This window comes from Homo sapiens, chromosome 3, assembly GCF_000001405.40.
Source record: "Homo sapiens chromosome 3, GRCh38.p14 Primary Assembly".
Lineage (NCBI taxonomy): Eukaryota > Metazoa > Chordata > Mammalia > Primates > Hominidae > Homo > Homo sapiens.
This window is the reverse complement of record NC_000003.12, coordinates 152,414,024-152,428,595: the sequence shown is the minus strand read 5'-3', so window position 1 is coordinate 152,428,595 and position 14,572 is coordinate 152,414,024. Positions and strand designations below refer to the sequence as shown.

General features: G+C 39.2%; 1 protein-coding gene across 130 annotated transcripts in view; it reads right to left on the bottom strand.

Annotated features, from left to right (window-relative positions):
- MBNL1 (muscleblind like splicing regulator 1) overlaps positions 1-14,572 on the bottom strand; it is a 222,149-nt gene that overhangs the window by 37,185 nt on the left and 170,392 nt on the right. For 127 of the 130 annotated variants that reach the window (NR_170697.1, NR_164857.1, NR_164858.1 and 124 more), the window contains one exon: positions 13,485-13,655. The exons of the other annotated variants lie outside the window; for them this stretch is intronic. Coding sequence is in view for 111 of the 127 variants with exons in the window: in NM_001376819.1 (NP_001363748.1) it covers positions 13,485-13,655 (171 nt within the window). In the remaining 16 variants the exon portion in view is untranslated. The remainder of the gene's footprint in view (positions 1-13,484; positions 13,656-14,572) is intronic. 130 annotated transcript variants of the gene reach the window in all.

Here is a 14,572-nt window from a genome sequence, read left to right as displayed (position 1 = left end):
TGTTCCCTTATAGCTCTTTTCTTTTAAACATGGTTTATCCTCCACATTGAATGCTACCTGTGCCTAGCCAATCTGTTTAATTCCTAATTGTGCTTCAAGAATTAGGACTCTTTAGGTAAGTTTCTCTTGATCCATCTACATCTCTAACTATAAAGGGGTTTTTCTTACCCTCTGTTCCCACGAACTCCTAATTACTCGAATCAGCATATACCACTGCCAGTGTTTACCTGAATATCTCCTCTAGTCTGACAAGACTGGAGGCTCCTAGAGGGCAGACTTTTGCTTTATGTCTTGTTCATGTTATGTATACGCTGCGTTTAGCATCTATACAGATCTTCTACAAACATTTACTTAACATATATACTAATGGATTTGCTGCTTTTCTCTGCCACAGAAACAAGCAAATACATTAAATATTCTTTAGAATATATACTTGAATGTGAAATAAAAGTGATTGTTTCTTTCTTTACCTCAAAATTCAATAATTACTATCTCTAATATACCTGTCCAAAGTTTATTTTTTCCTTTTGTTTTGCAATTTTTTATATTAAGCTTTCTAAGTTTCAGTAATGTAGTTACCATGCTGTAATGTTGCAAATATCACAGGGGCTGATATTTATCTTAAAACACCATGTGAACACTGTTTGTTTTGCAATGTTTGAGATTTAAAAAAAAAATAGAGGGAGTATATGTAACAAATAATATGTAATCAATATCAGATGAAATTCACAGATCACAAATTTTAAGTCATATTATTCTAGATTTTATGTATGTATATAAAGAAATAAAATATTTTAAAAAATTTTTTTAATTTTTAAATATTTTTTAAAATTTTTAAAATTTTTATTTTAAAAATGTTTTTAATATAAAAAAATTTTTTTTAAAAAAGCACACATAATCAAGGTATATGAAAGCATGTTTCTGGGTAGGCATAACCCTGTAACTAGTCTCACTGAACTATTTTGAATATAAACAGTGCCAAAAGCTAACAGGAGTTATCAACAAATTCATATTATAAAGTTCTTTTTTTCTAAGAAAGCAGGGCCAGGCACAGTGGGTCTGGCCTATGATCCCAGCACTTTGTGAGGCTGAGGCAGGAGAATCACTTGAGCCCAGGAGTGTGAACTTACAGTATGCTACGACTGCACCACTGCCTTCTAGCCTGGGTGACAAAGCAAGACCCTCTATCTTTAAAAAAAGGGTAGCAAATGACGAATAAAATAAGAGATACTGTTATAACTTTGCTCCTAGACTGACTTGTAACTGGATAAATCAATGAGTACCTCCTTCATTCTTAGTTTCACTTTATCCTTCAATCCAGTTTGACTGAAATAACAAACATTTAAATAAAGAACACTCTGGACTTCCTAGTAGAAAGGTATCAACCAGGCATGGCCTAGTTCCTAAAATCCAGGGCCCATTCTCTCAGGCTGTTTGAGGATTCACAGGCTCCTTAATGGAAAAAGGCAGTAACAACAGCAGGATGGATGAAAGACTACTCAGAGAAACTGACATGGAAACATTTTACCAGAAACACTCTGGGATAAAGTGCCTTATCTCAACCATTACCTGGATAAAGTGGAAAGTAAAGAACCAAAAAACTATTTAAGAATTCTAGGTGTTCCTGGAAGAATGAATGACAAATGATGACTTCAAAGCATTCTGCATCTGAATGGCAACAAATGCTTGGAACATGATGTGACAGCAAAGTCTATCTAGGTTACAGAAGCAGCAAAGAAGCTCTCAAGACATTAGCTAAAACCAGAAACTGAATTTCTCTATTCCTAGGCTATTTCAAAGTTCATGTAATGCACAGGATTTCTACACAAATTATGGACCCTGAGATAGCTAATTTGTTTACCCAAAGAATAGCTGCCATCACAAATTATAGATAGCCAAGGTTAACTTTGGGATCACAGGTAAAGGCACATGAGACCATTACTAGAGAAACTCCAGATATCATGCAAAGCTCTTTATAACCACTGCTTATGTAGAGCTCTTTGAGGGCAATGAAGAGAGCCTGGCAACAACAGAATTTCTGAAGGACACTTGGCTGGGATGCACTAAAGAAATCTACCAGAGGTCTCCAGGTTGCAAGCCATGATATACAGCCTATTTTTGGTTAAATTATGTACCAATTTTTCATCAGACAAAATTTGCACCAGACAGTATGTGACAAAGTAAAAATAATAATTTGGAAAAAGAATCCAGAAGTTTTATTTTTTTGATTATTTTTGATTTTTATTATACTTTAAATTCTGGGATACATGTGCAGAACGTGCAGGTTTGTTACATGGGCATACATGTGACATGGACATGGTGGTTTGCTGCACTCATCAACCCATCATCTACATTAGGTATTTCTCCTAATGCTATCCCCCACCTTGCCCCACAACCCCCAGGAGGCCCCAGTGTGTGATGTTCCCCCCCCGTGCCCACATGTTCTCATTGCTCAACTCCCACTTATGAGTGAGAACATGAGATGTTTGGTTTTCTGTTCCTGTTGTTAGTTTGCTGAGAATGATGGTTTCCAGCTTCATCCATGTCCCTGCAAAGGACAGGAACTCATTCTTTCCTATGGCTGTATAGTATTCCATGGTGTATATGTGCCACATTTTCTTTATCCAGTCTATCATTGATGGACATTTGGGTTGGTTCCAAGTCATTGCTATTGTGAATTGTGCTGCAATAAACATACGTGTGCATGTGTCTTTATAGTAGAATGATTTACAAAACTGAGTATATACCCAGTAATGGGACTGCTGGGTCAAATGTTATTTCTAGTTCTAGATCCTTCAGGAATTGCCACACTGTCTTCCACATGGTTGAACTAATTTACACTCCCAACAGTGTAAAAGCATTCCTATTTCTCCACATCCTCATCAGCATCTGTTGTTCCCCGACTTTCTAATGATTGCCATTCTAACTGGTGTGAGATGCTATCTCATTGTGGTTTTGATTTGCATTTCTTTCTTTTTTTTTTTTTCTGAGACAGATCCTCTCTCTGTTACCCAGGCTGGAGTGCAGTGGCGTGATCTCGGGTCACTGCAACCTCCGCCTCCCAGGTTCAAGCGATTCTCTTGCCTCAGCCTCCTGAATAGCTGGGACTACACGTGTGTGCCACCATGCCCGGCTAATTTTTTGTATCTTTAGTAGAGACAGGGCTTCACTGTGTTAACCAGGATGGTCTTGATCTCGGCTGCCCTGGCCTCCCAAAGTGCTGGGATTACAGGCGTGAGCCACCACACCCGGACCCTGATTTGCATTTCTCTAATGACCACCGATGATGAGCTTTTTTTCATACATTTGTTGGCCACATAAATGTCTTCTTTTGAGAAGTGTCTGTTCATATCCTTTGCCCACTTGTTGATGTTTTTTTTTTTCTTGTAAATTTGTTTAAGTTATTTGTAGATTCTGGATATTAGCCCTTGGTCAGATGGATGATTGCAAAAATCTTCTCCCGTTCTGTAGGTTGCCTGTTCACTCTGATGATAGTTTCTTTTGCTGTGCAGAAGCTCTTTAGTTCAATTAGATCCCATTTGTCAATTTTGGCTTTTGTTGCCATTGCTTTTGGTGTTTTAGTCATGAAGTCTTTGCCCATGCCTATGTCCTGAATGGTAGTGCCTTGGTCTTCTTTTTATGGTTTTGGGTCTTACATTTAAGTCTTTAATCCATCTTAATTTTCGTATAAGGTGCAAGAAAGGGGTCCAGTTTCAGTTTTCTGCATATGGCTAGCCAGTTTTCCCAACACCATGTATTATATACAGAATCCTTTCCCCATTGCTTTTGTCAGGTTTGTCAAAGATCAAATGGTGGTAGATGTGTGGTGTGATTTCTGAGGCCTCTGTTCTGTTCCAATGGTCTATATATCTGTTTTGGTACCAGTACTATGCTGTTTTGGTTACTGTAGCCTTGTAGTATGAAGTCAGGTAGTGTGATGCCTCCAGCTTTGTTCTTTTCGCTTAGGATTGTCTTGGCTATACAGGCTGTTTTTTGGTTCCATATGAAATTTAAAGTAGTTTTTTTTTTTTTCTAATTCTGTGAAGAAAGTCAATGGTAGCTTGATGGGAATACCATTGAATCTATAAATTACTTTGGACAGTATGGCCATTTTCACGATATTGATTCTTTCTATCCATGTGCATGGAATGTTTTTCCATTTGCTTGTGTCCTCTCTTATTTCCTTGAGCAGTGGTTTGTTGTTCTCCCTGAAGAGGTCCTTCATATCTCTCGTAAATTATATCCATAGGTAATTTATTCTCTTTGTAGCAATTGTGAATGGGAGTTCACTCATGATTTGGCTCTCTGTTTGTCTATTATTGGTGTACAGGAATGCTTGTGATTTTTGCACATTGATTTTGTATCCTGAGACTGCTGAAGTAGCTTATCAGCTTAAGGAGTTTTGGGGCTGAGATGATGGGGTTTTGTAAATATACAATCATGTCATCTGCAAACAGAAACAATTTGACTTCCTCTCTTCCTACCTGAATATCATTTATTTCTCTTGCCTGATTGCCCTGGCCAGAACTTCCAATACTATGTTGAATAGGAGTGGTGAGGGAGGGAATCCTTGTCTTGTGCCAGTTTTCAAAGGGAATACTTCCAGCTCTTGCCCATTCAGTATGATATTGGCTATGGGTTTGTCATAAATAGCTCTTATTATTTTGAGATACATTCCATCAATACCTAGTTTATTATTTTTAGCATGAAGGGATGTTGAATTTTATTAAAAGCCTTTTCTGCATCTATTGAGATAATCATGTGGTTTTTGTCATTGGTTCTGTTTATGTGATGGATTATGTTTATTGATTTCCATATGCTGAACCAGCCTTGCATCCCAGGGATGAAACCGACTTGATCATGGTGGATAAGCTTTTTAATGTACTCTGGATTTGGTTTGCCAGTATTTTATTAAGGATTTTCGCACCGATGTTCACCAGGGATATTGGCCTGAAATTTTCTTTTTTTCTTGTGTCTCTACCAGATTTTGGTATCAGGACGATGCTGGCCTCACAAAATGAGTGATGGAGGAGTCCCTCTTTTTCTATTGTTTGGAATAGTTTCAGAAAGAATGGTACCAGCTCCTCTTTGTACCTCTGGTAGAATTCGCCTGTGAATCCGTCTGGTCCTGGGCTTTTTCTGGTTGATAGGCTATTATAATTACTGCCTCAATTTCAGCACTTGTTATTGTTCTATTCAGGGATTCGACTTCTTCCTGGTTGAGTCTTGGGAGGCTGTACGTGTCCAGGAATTTATCTATTTCTTTTAGGTTTTCTACTTTATTTGCATAGAGGTGTTTATAGTATTCTCTGCTGGTAGTTTGTATTTCTGTGGGATCAGTGGTGATATCCCCTTTGTCATTTATATTGTGTCTATTTGATTCTTCTCTTATTAGTCTGGCTAGTGATCCATCTATTTTGTGAATCTTTTCAAAAAACCAGCTGCTGGATTCATTGATTTTTTGAAGGGTTTTTTGTATCTCTATCCTTCAGCCCTGCTCTGATCCTACTTATTTATCTTCTGCTAGCTTTTGAATTTGTTTGCCCTTGCTTCTCTCGTTATTTTAATCGTGATGTTCAGGTGTCAATTTTATATCTTTCCTGCTTTCTCCTGTGGACATTTAGTGCTACAAATTTCCCTGTAAACACTGCTTTAGCTGTGTCCCAGAGATTCTGGTACATTGTGTCTTTGTTCTCACTGGTTTCAAAGAACTGATTTATTTCTGCCTCAATTTCATTATTTACCTAGTAGTCATTCAGGAGCAGGTTGTTCAGTTTCCATGTGGTTGTGTGGTTTTGAGTGAGTTTCTTAATCCTGAGTTCTAACTTGATTGCACTGTGGTCTGAGAGACTGTTTATGATATCTGTTCTTTTGCACCTTTTGAGGAGTGTTTTACTTCCAATTATGTAGTTGATGTTAGAATAAGTGCTATGTGGTGCTAAGAAGAATGTATATTCTGTTGATTTGGGGTGGAGAGTCCTGTAGATGTCTATTAAGTCTGCTTGGTCCAGAGCTGAGTTCAATTCCTGAATATCCTTGTTAATTTTCTGCCTCGTTGATCTGTCTAATATTGACAGTGGGGTGTTAAAGTCTCCCATTATTATTGTGTGGGAGTCTAAGTCTCTTTGTAGGTCTGTAAGAACTTGCTTTATGAATTGGGTGCTTCTGTATTAGGTGCATATCTATTTAGGATAGTTAGCTCTTCTTGTTGCATTGATCCCTTTACCATTATGTAATGCCCTTCTTTGTCTTTTTTGATCATGGTTGGTTTAAAGTCTGTTTTATCAGAGACTAGGATTGCAACTCCTGCTTTTTTTTTTTTTTTTTGCTTTCCATTTGCTTGGTAAATATTCCTCCATCCCTTTATTTTCCCTTTATTTTGAGACTATGTGTGTCTTTGCACGTAGGATGGGTATCCTGAATACAGCACACTGATGGGTCTTGACTCTTTATCCAATTTGCCAGTCTGCGTCTTTTAATTGAGAGATTTAGCCTGTTTACATTTAAGGTTAATATTGTTATGTGTGAATTTGATCCTGTCATTATGATGCTAGCTGGTTATTTTGCCTATTAGTTGATGCAGTTTCTTCATATGTCAATGGTGTTTACATTTTGGTATTTTTTTTTTTAGTGGTCGGTACGAGTTTTTCCTTTCCATATTCAGTGCTTCCTTCAGGAGTTCTTGTAAGGCAGGCCTGGTGGTGACAAAATCCCTCAGCATTTACTTGTCTGTAAAGAATTTTATTTCTCTTTCACTTATGAAACGTAGTTTGTCTGGCTATGAAATTCTGGGTTGAAAATTCTTTTAAGAATGTTGAATATTGGCCCTCACTCTCTTCTGGCTTGTAGGGTTTCTGCAGAGAAATCTGCTGTTAGTCCCTTTGTGGGTAACCTGACCTTTCTCTCTGGCTGCCCTTAACATTTTTCCTTCATTTAAACCTTGGTGAATCTGACGATTATATGTCTTGGGGTTGCTCTTCTCGAGGAGTATATTTGTGTCGTTCTCTGTATTTCCTGAATGTGAATTTTCTGCACCCAGTTTAAACTTATCAGCGGCTTTGTTTACACTGTTTGGGGAAAACTGCCTCTTCAAGCCTCAGTAATAGCAAATGCCTTCCCCCAACCAAGCTCCTTAGTCCCGGGTTGACTTCAGACTGCTAGGCTGGCAGCGAGAATTTGAAGCCAGTGGATCTTAGCTTGTTGGGCTCCATGGGGGTGGGATCCACTGAGCAAGAACACTCGGCTCCCTGGCTTCAGCCGCCTTTCCAGGGGAGTGACTGGTTCTGTCTTGATGGCATTCTGGGCACCACTGGGGTACGAAAAAAATCTCCTGCAGCTAGCTCAGTGTCTGCCCAAACAGCCTATCTTGCTAGGTTGGGGAAGTTCTGGCTAATATCCTGAAGTGTGTTTTCCAACTTGGTTCCATTCTCCCCATCACTTTGAGGTACACCAATCAAACGTAGGTTTGGTCTTTACACACAGTCCCATATTTCTTGGAGGCTTTGTTCATTCCTTTGCATTCTTTTTTCTCTAATCTTGTCTTCACGCTTTATTTCATTAAGCTGATCTTCAGTCTCTGATATCCTTTCTTCCACTTGATCGATTCAGCTACTGATACCTGTGTATGCTTCACGAACTTCTCATGCTGTGTTTTTCACCTCCATCAGGTCATTTATGCTCTTCTCTAAACTGGTTATTCAGTTAGCAGTTCCTGTAATCTTTTATCAAGGTTCTTAACTTCCTTGCATTGGGTTAAAACATGTTCCTTTAGCTCAGAGGAGTTTGTTATTACTCACCTTCTGAAGCCTACTTCTGTCAATTTGTCAAACTCACTTTCTGTCCAGTTTTGTTCCCTTGCTGGCGAGGAGTTGTGATCCTTTGGAGAAGAAGAGGCAATCTGGTTTTTGGAATTTTCAGCCTTTTTGAGCTGGTTTTTCCTCATCTTCGTGGATTTACCTACCTTTGGTCTTTGATGTTGGTGACCTTCGATAGGGTTTTTGCATGGGCGTCCTTTTTGTTGATGTTGATGTTATTGCTTTCTGTTTGTTAGTTTTCCTTCTAACAGTTAGGCCCCTCTGCTGCAGGTCTGCTGGAGTTTGCTGGAGGTCCACTCAAGACCCTGTTTGCCTGGGTATCACTAGCAGAGGCTGCAGAACAGCAATGATTGCTGCCTTTTCCTTCCTCTGGAAGCTTCATCCCAGAGGGGCATCCACCAGATGCCAGCTGGAGCTTTCCTATATGAAGTGTCTTTCGATCCCTGCTGGGAGGTGTCTCCCAGTCAGGAGGCACAGGGGTCAGGGATCCACTTGAGGAGGCAGTCTGTCCCTTAGCAGAGTTCAAGCGCTGTGCTAGGTGGGAGATCTGCTGCTCTCTTCAGAGCTGGCAGGCAGAAATAAACATTTAAGTCTGCTGAAGCTGCGCCCACAGCCGCCCCTTCCCCCAGGTGCTCTGTCCCAGAGAGATGGGAGTTTTATGTATAAGCCCCTGACTAGGGCTACTGCCTTTCTTTCAGAGATGCCCTGCCCAGAGAGAAAGAATCTAGAGAGGCAGCCTGGCTACAGCAGCTTTGCTGTGCTGAGGTGGTTTCTGCACCCAGTTCAAACTTCCTGGCAGCTTGGTTTACATCGTGAGGGGAAACCGCCTACTCAAGCCTCAATTATGGTGGATGTCCCTCCCACTACCAAGCTCGATAGTCTCAGGTTGACTGCGGTGCTGGCAGCAAGAATTTCAAGCCAGCAGGATCTTAGCTTGTTGGGCTCCATGGGGGTGGGGTCCGCTGAGCAAGACCACTTGGCTCCCTGGCTTCAGCCCTCTTTCCAGGGGAGTGAACGGTTCTGTCTCGCTGGTGTTCCAGGAGCCACTAGAGTATGAAAACAAACAAACAAACAAACAAACAAACAAACAAACAAAAAAACTCCTGCAGCCAGCTCAGTGTCTGCCCAAATAGCCGCCCAGTTTTGTGCCTGAAAGCCAGGGCCCTGGTGGTGTAGGCACCCAAGGGAATCTCCTAGTCTGCGGTTTGCGAAGACCATGGGAAAAGTGTAGTATCTGGGCTGGACAGCACCATCCGTCACAGCAGGGTCCCTCATGGCTTCCCTTGGCTAGGGAAGGGAGTTCCCTGACCCCTTGCACTTCCAGGGTGAGGTGACACCCTACCATGCTTCTGCTTACCCTCTGTGGGCTGCACCAACTGTCTAACCAGTCCCAGTGAGATGAACTGGGTACCTCAGTTGGGAATTCAGAAATCACCTGCCTTCTGCATTGATCTTGCTGGGAGCTGCAGACTGGAGTTGCTCCTATTTGGCCATCTTGCCCGGGCAATTCCAGAAGTTTTATTTTTTTAAATTTAAATAATTAAACACTATAGGCCTTCCATTTGTCCTCAAAGAACATATGATTAAAAAAAAAAGATCATTTTGCATTTTATTAGTGATATAGGAATGACAGCAGAATGTCAATTATTCTATAATTGATAATATTAGTTTTATTAATCTGTGTGGACACAGATTAAATCATTCATTTTCTACTACTTATTTTCTCATCTTATGAAATGAGATTATGTTTACATTATAAGATTGTCGGCTGGGCATGATGGCTCACGCCTGTAATCCCAGCACTCTGAGAGGCTGTGGCAGGCGGATCACAAGGTCAGGAGATCAAGACCATCCTAGCTAACACAGTGAAACCCCGCCTCTACAAAAACTATAAAAAATTAGCCGGGCACGGGGGCGGGCGCCTGTAGTCCCAGGTACTCAGGAGGCTGAGGCAAGAGAACGGTGTGAACTTGGGAGGCGGAGCTTGCAGTGAGCTGAGATCACACCACTGCACTCCAGCCTGGGCAACAGAGTGAGATTCTGTCTCAAAAAAAAAAAAAAAAAAAAGATTGTTAAGACCTTGTAGGTAATATATTCCAAACTTTTCACCATTTGTTGAGGAAGGTCAGAGATCTCTCTCTCTCTCTCTCTTTTTTTTTTTTTTTTTAGAGACAGGGTCTTATTCTGACACCCACATTGGAGTGCAGTGGTTTGATCAAAACTCACTGCAGCCTCAACCTCCTGGGCTCAAGTGATTCTCCTGCCTTAGCTTCCTAAGTTGGTGTCTTGCTATGTTGCCCAGGTTGGTCTTGAACTCCTGGCCTCAAGTGACCCTCCTGCCTCAGCCTCCCAAAGTGCTGGGATTACAGGTGTAAGCCAGCACACCCAGCTAGGTTAGAGATCTTAATGAATCAACCAAGGACCCTGAGTTGGCCAGTGGTGTGTCTCCAATTAGGTGCTTCCACATCATGAGTGCCAAAAGCAGAACAAGGTGGTTAAAATCCTAGCCTTGCTACTCACTAGCTGTGTAACCTGAGCAAACTTCTTAACCCTTCTGAACTTCTCAGTCTATCTCTAAATTTAGGGTAACATTACTACTTTAAAGGATGGTTTGTGAGGATTTAATATACAAAAAGTGCCAAGTGCAGTAAATGCCCCTAATGTATTGTATTTGTCTCAAAAATTTTAAGTCCGGTTTCTGATTCTTGGCTTGGTACATTTCAATAGAAGCTCACAAAGTGTATAAAAATGGGAAACCTTCCTACAGATCCCTGCATTCCCCAAGTTAGCCCAGTGTTGTGCTCTGAAGATATTAAATGTATAGACCTCGTCACTCACAATTTATGAGAAAATGAGAACCCAAACTTGGTTGCATAATAACCCAAGCTTAGTGGCATATTTCTTGTAGCCATCAAGCCTCTAGCTGCCTTTGCTAATAATCTGCTGATATGTGTCCACTTCTATGCCCCATTCTATGTTGCAGCCTCTGTAACTGGGCTTGTGTTCTGGGTGCTGGTTATGATTCCTTTGAACTATGGAGCAGGTAAACTACTATGAATCTCTGCCTGTTTTTCTGGTGTTTCGGAAACTCCTTCCTTCATTTGTTCTTTCACTCATCAAGTAATTATTGATCTCTGCTATATGCCAGGCATAATACTAGATGCTTCCAAGTTTGCTTAGACCTTGCTGTCTCCCTCTCTCCTTCCTGCTCCTCCAAGGTTTGGGAGCTAAACTGGCCCTAGAGAAGTTAGATGCTGTCACCTACTTGACTAAAAGTCTTGTCACTGCTCAGATACTCTGAATACTGCTGATGGTATGGAACTGCTCATAGTATTTATCTTCTTTGATATGACTACTACCTGGGTTGGATCCAAGTTAATGCCATGTCTTCAAACACTCATCTGTAAGTAGTGGCCATTCTCTCTGAGTGGCAACCCTTTTCCACATTAGTCACCTGGCTTCCTCTAGTCCTGTTACAATCCCTATTTGTAAGGCCCACATTAAACTCCCAGTAAGCAGCTGATTATGACCATTCCATTCATTTCTGAATCTCCATGTCATTACCCTCATCAAAACAGGGCTGACTACAAAAAGGATAAAAAAGTCTCAGGTGAGGTTTTGAAGGCAAATTTCCTGTACTAAAGCTTTCTCTACAGTCATTAAAGTCCCAAATGCCTTAAAATTGAATAATTAAAATGATTTCTGTACTTATTACAAAGTCATCACTCTGAATAAAGTATATTTTTAGACAATGATCTCAGGATACCTTTAGCAGAAGGGTAATTCCACATTCAAATCTAGTCATATGAGGAAAAATTAACATAAAGCCTGAATATGCTCACAACTAATAAAAATAATTTCTTTGTCTAAGCAGAGAATTTTCTAACAAAAGCATCAGAAAATGTGATGATTGTTCTCATGGTTTCAGAAATCTGTGATTTAGTGATTTCACGAACAATATATTTGTTACTAGTATTTCAAAGGGCATAAATATTGTTTACAGTTTGTCCCAGGATTGCACACACGACATCCTAGAATGGCCTTCAGAGTAAGACTCAAGGGCTAGGTCAGGAAATGTGGTGGCCAGTGTTCTCTTCCATCTGGGAACACACTTGCTGATCTCAAAGGTGCTCCCAGTCACAGAGAGGGTACAGCCTGGTGGTAAGCATGCTTTAAATGTTTAAGTAGAACAAAGTATCTTCACATCAAGGATAGGCCTTAGAGGAGCTAAGGTGGTAGCCACCCTAAAGACTTGTCTGATCTTTGAAACTGTATGTGAGAGCCAAGTGCAAATGAGACTTTTGTCCTACATGTTCTGTTAGAGAATTATTATAGCTAATTTTTTTAACCAAATGGAAATCTTCATGCTATCCTAATACAGCCATGTGAAATTAGTAGATGTCACAAAAATAACTTTAAGCTATCACATTTTTAACTGAGCCTACAATCATAGGGGAAAAAACCAGATCAGGTTAAAACAGACACATAATTAATTATATTCTCTCACTTCAACTGTATAGAACTGATAACTGGTATCACTGCCCATGTAATGTGGAGATCCTCCCACCTTGAAATGCAATCCCCCACTCTTTTTTGAAATGATTGTTGCATAAAGTTCTAAAAGAGAATAATAATTACATTGAGTTCAGGTTTTAGAATGTATTCGGAAAAAAAACAGCACACATGCTACAGTTAGCATAGCAGAAAAACATGGGTCTTCACATTCCCATGACCCCACGATACTGCATATAAGCTAGTGACATAAATTACTGACAGATATATTCTGATAATTGCAAATTTCAACATGCATTTGAATTTAAATGTAGAATTACTATATCACAATTAACGTCAAAGCACCTTTTTCAACCTAACACTAATTCTTATAATAATCTTTCACATTTTGATGAATAAATATGAATAGAGATTATTAAAGTCATTTATTACACACATACTCCAGAAATCCAAACAGTTAAATAGAAATGTGTGTTTCAAAGCAAGAGTCACCCACATATACTGCTCAGCAAATACTAAATATCTATGACCACCCAGTTTTTCAACTTTAGCTCTTTAAGCCCTCAGAGTTTCAGCCTACCCTGATTAATTCTTCTTTAATGAGACCTCCAAGTCTATGATATTGATTTACTACTGTCAGAATTTTCCTAGCATTTGTAGCTATGAAATAATTTCAACTTAAATTATAGAAGAACAAGAAAGGTACCTTTTCAAGAAAAAGAACTATACACATTCTTTTCAAGGAGGGAGGAAAGGGAGAACTATTCTCAAAATTAAAGACTATACATACCAATTTTAAATATCATTATTACCTCTGAAGGTGGCTGAAAATGTATATTGACTATACCGGTGAGTTAGATGATCATTGTAACACAGAGCATTTTAACATCTGCCAGTCTTGGGATTTATTTTGAAGAAAAATTTAGAGGAAAAAAAATGCTATAATGTAAATGTCCACATGATTTAGCCAGAAAATGAGTGCCTACACAAAGTATAAATTGTTCCAGCATTTGACTGATACTTAATTTTGCTAGAAAATGGTAAGGCAACTGAAATTGTTGCCTGTGTTCATTTGATCCGGTGCAATAATCACTTTAGTACTACAACTGAGCACTTTGAATCAAAAACTTAATGAGTGAAGACTGAAAACATGCTTACCACGGGTTGTAATGGGGCACCAGGCATCATGGCATTGGCTAGTTGCATTTGCTGGGCCAACATGGCCATGTTCTTCTGCTGAATCAAGTTATTGCGTCCATTTATCTCCAACTGCGTTTTTAAATGTGGGGGTGGATGAAGATATTTGCAGTTCTCCCTGGAGCAACGGCCCTAGAGAAACAAAAGCAGCAAACATCATCTTAGAAAAGAATAAAATCAGCAAATTATGAAAAAAATATAATGCAAACCACCCACTTGAATGTATCATTGGTTTTTCACACAATGCATTGTCCATATCATTTGATCATACATTTAGAACAAGTAATGAATTCACCAGAATGTACTATCAATATGAGAGGTTGAGACATTTAAAGAAGTTTAAAAGCTTAAAGAGTTTCAATTATTTTAATAATATTAGCATTAACATTTCCAGATTCAAGTTTAAAAATCTACAAACTGCTAGGGTAATACTAAAACATAGAATATCAAACAAAGAATATCAGGCTTCTGTCATAATATCTTCCTGGTTAAATTTAATGATTTAAGAATCCAAGTTTTATATTTTATTTTTACTTGTACTGAAATCTTAGGAAATGAACTTAGAGGACTCAAGGCACATTGTATCTTCAGTAAAACACCTTTATAAGTATCTAATAACAAATAAAATTAAAATTACTACTAGGCTTTACCAGTCCATGTATTAGGAATTTACAATTGAAAAGAAGAAAACTCCCATGTGTTCCCACTGTATATAGAGATTAATAAGTATAATGAAATACTGGTGAAAAATGTGGCCTTTAACTTTTCAAAGATAAATCTAGTCTTCTCCATTTTACAAAATCTATGAAACAATAAGAAATGGATATATTTACCCTCCAAAAAATTTAAAAAATGGAGAAACTAAGTTGCTATAAGCCAGGAATGGCGGTGCACTACCTCTGTACTCTGTCCTAAGCACTTCATTCTAGTACCTTCCTTGAATATATACCATCCAGACCATCCTACCAACGAACATAGCCTGGACTGAAATAATGGAGATAAATCATACATGTTTAGTAATCTTAGCACTTTGGGAGGCTGAGGCAAGA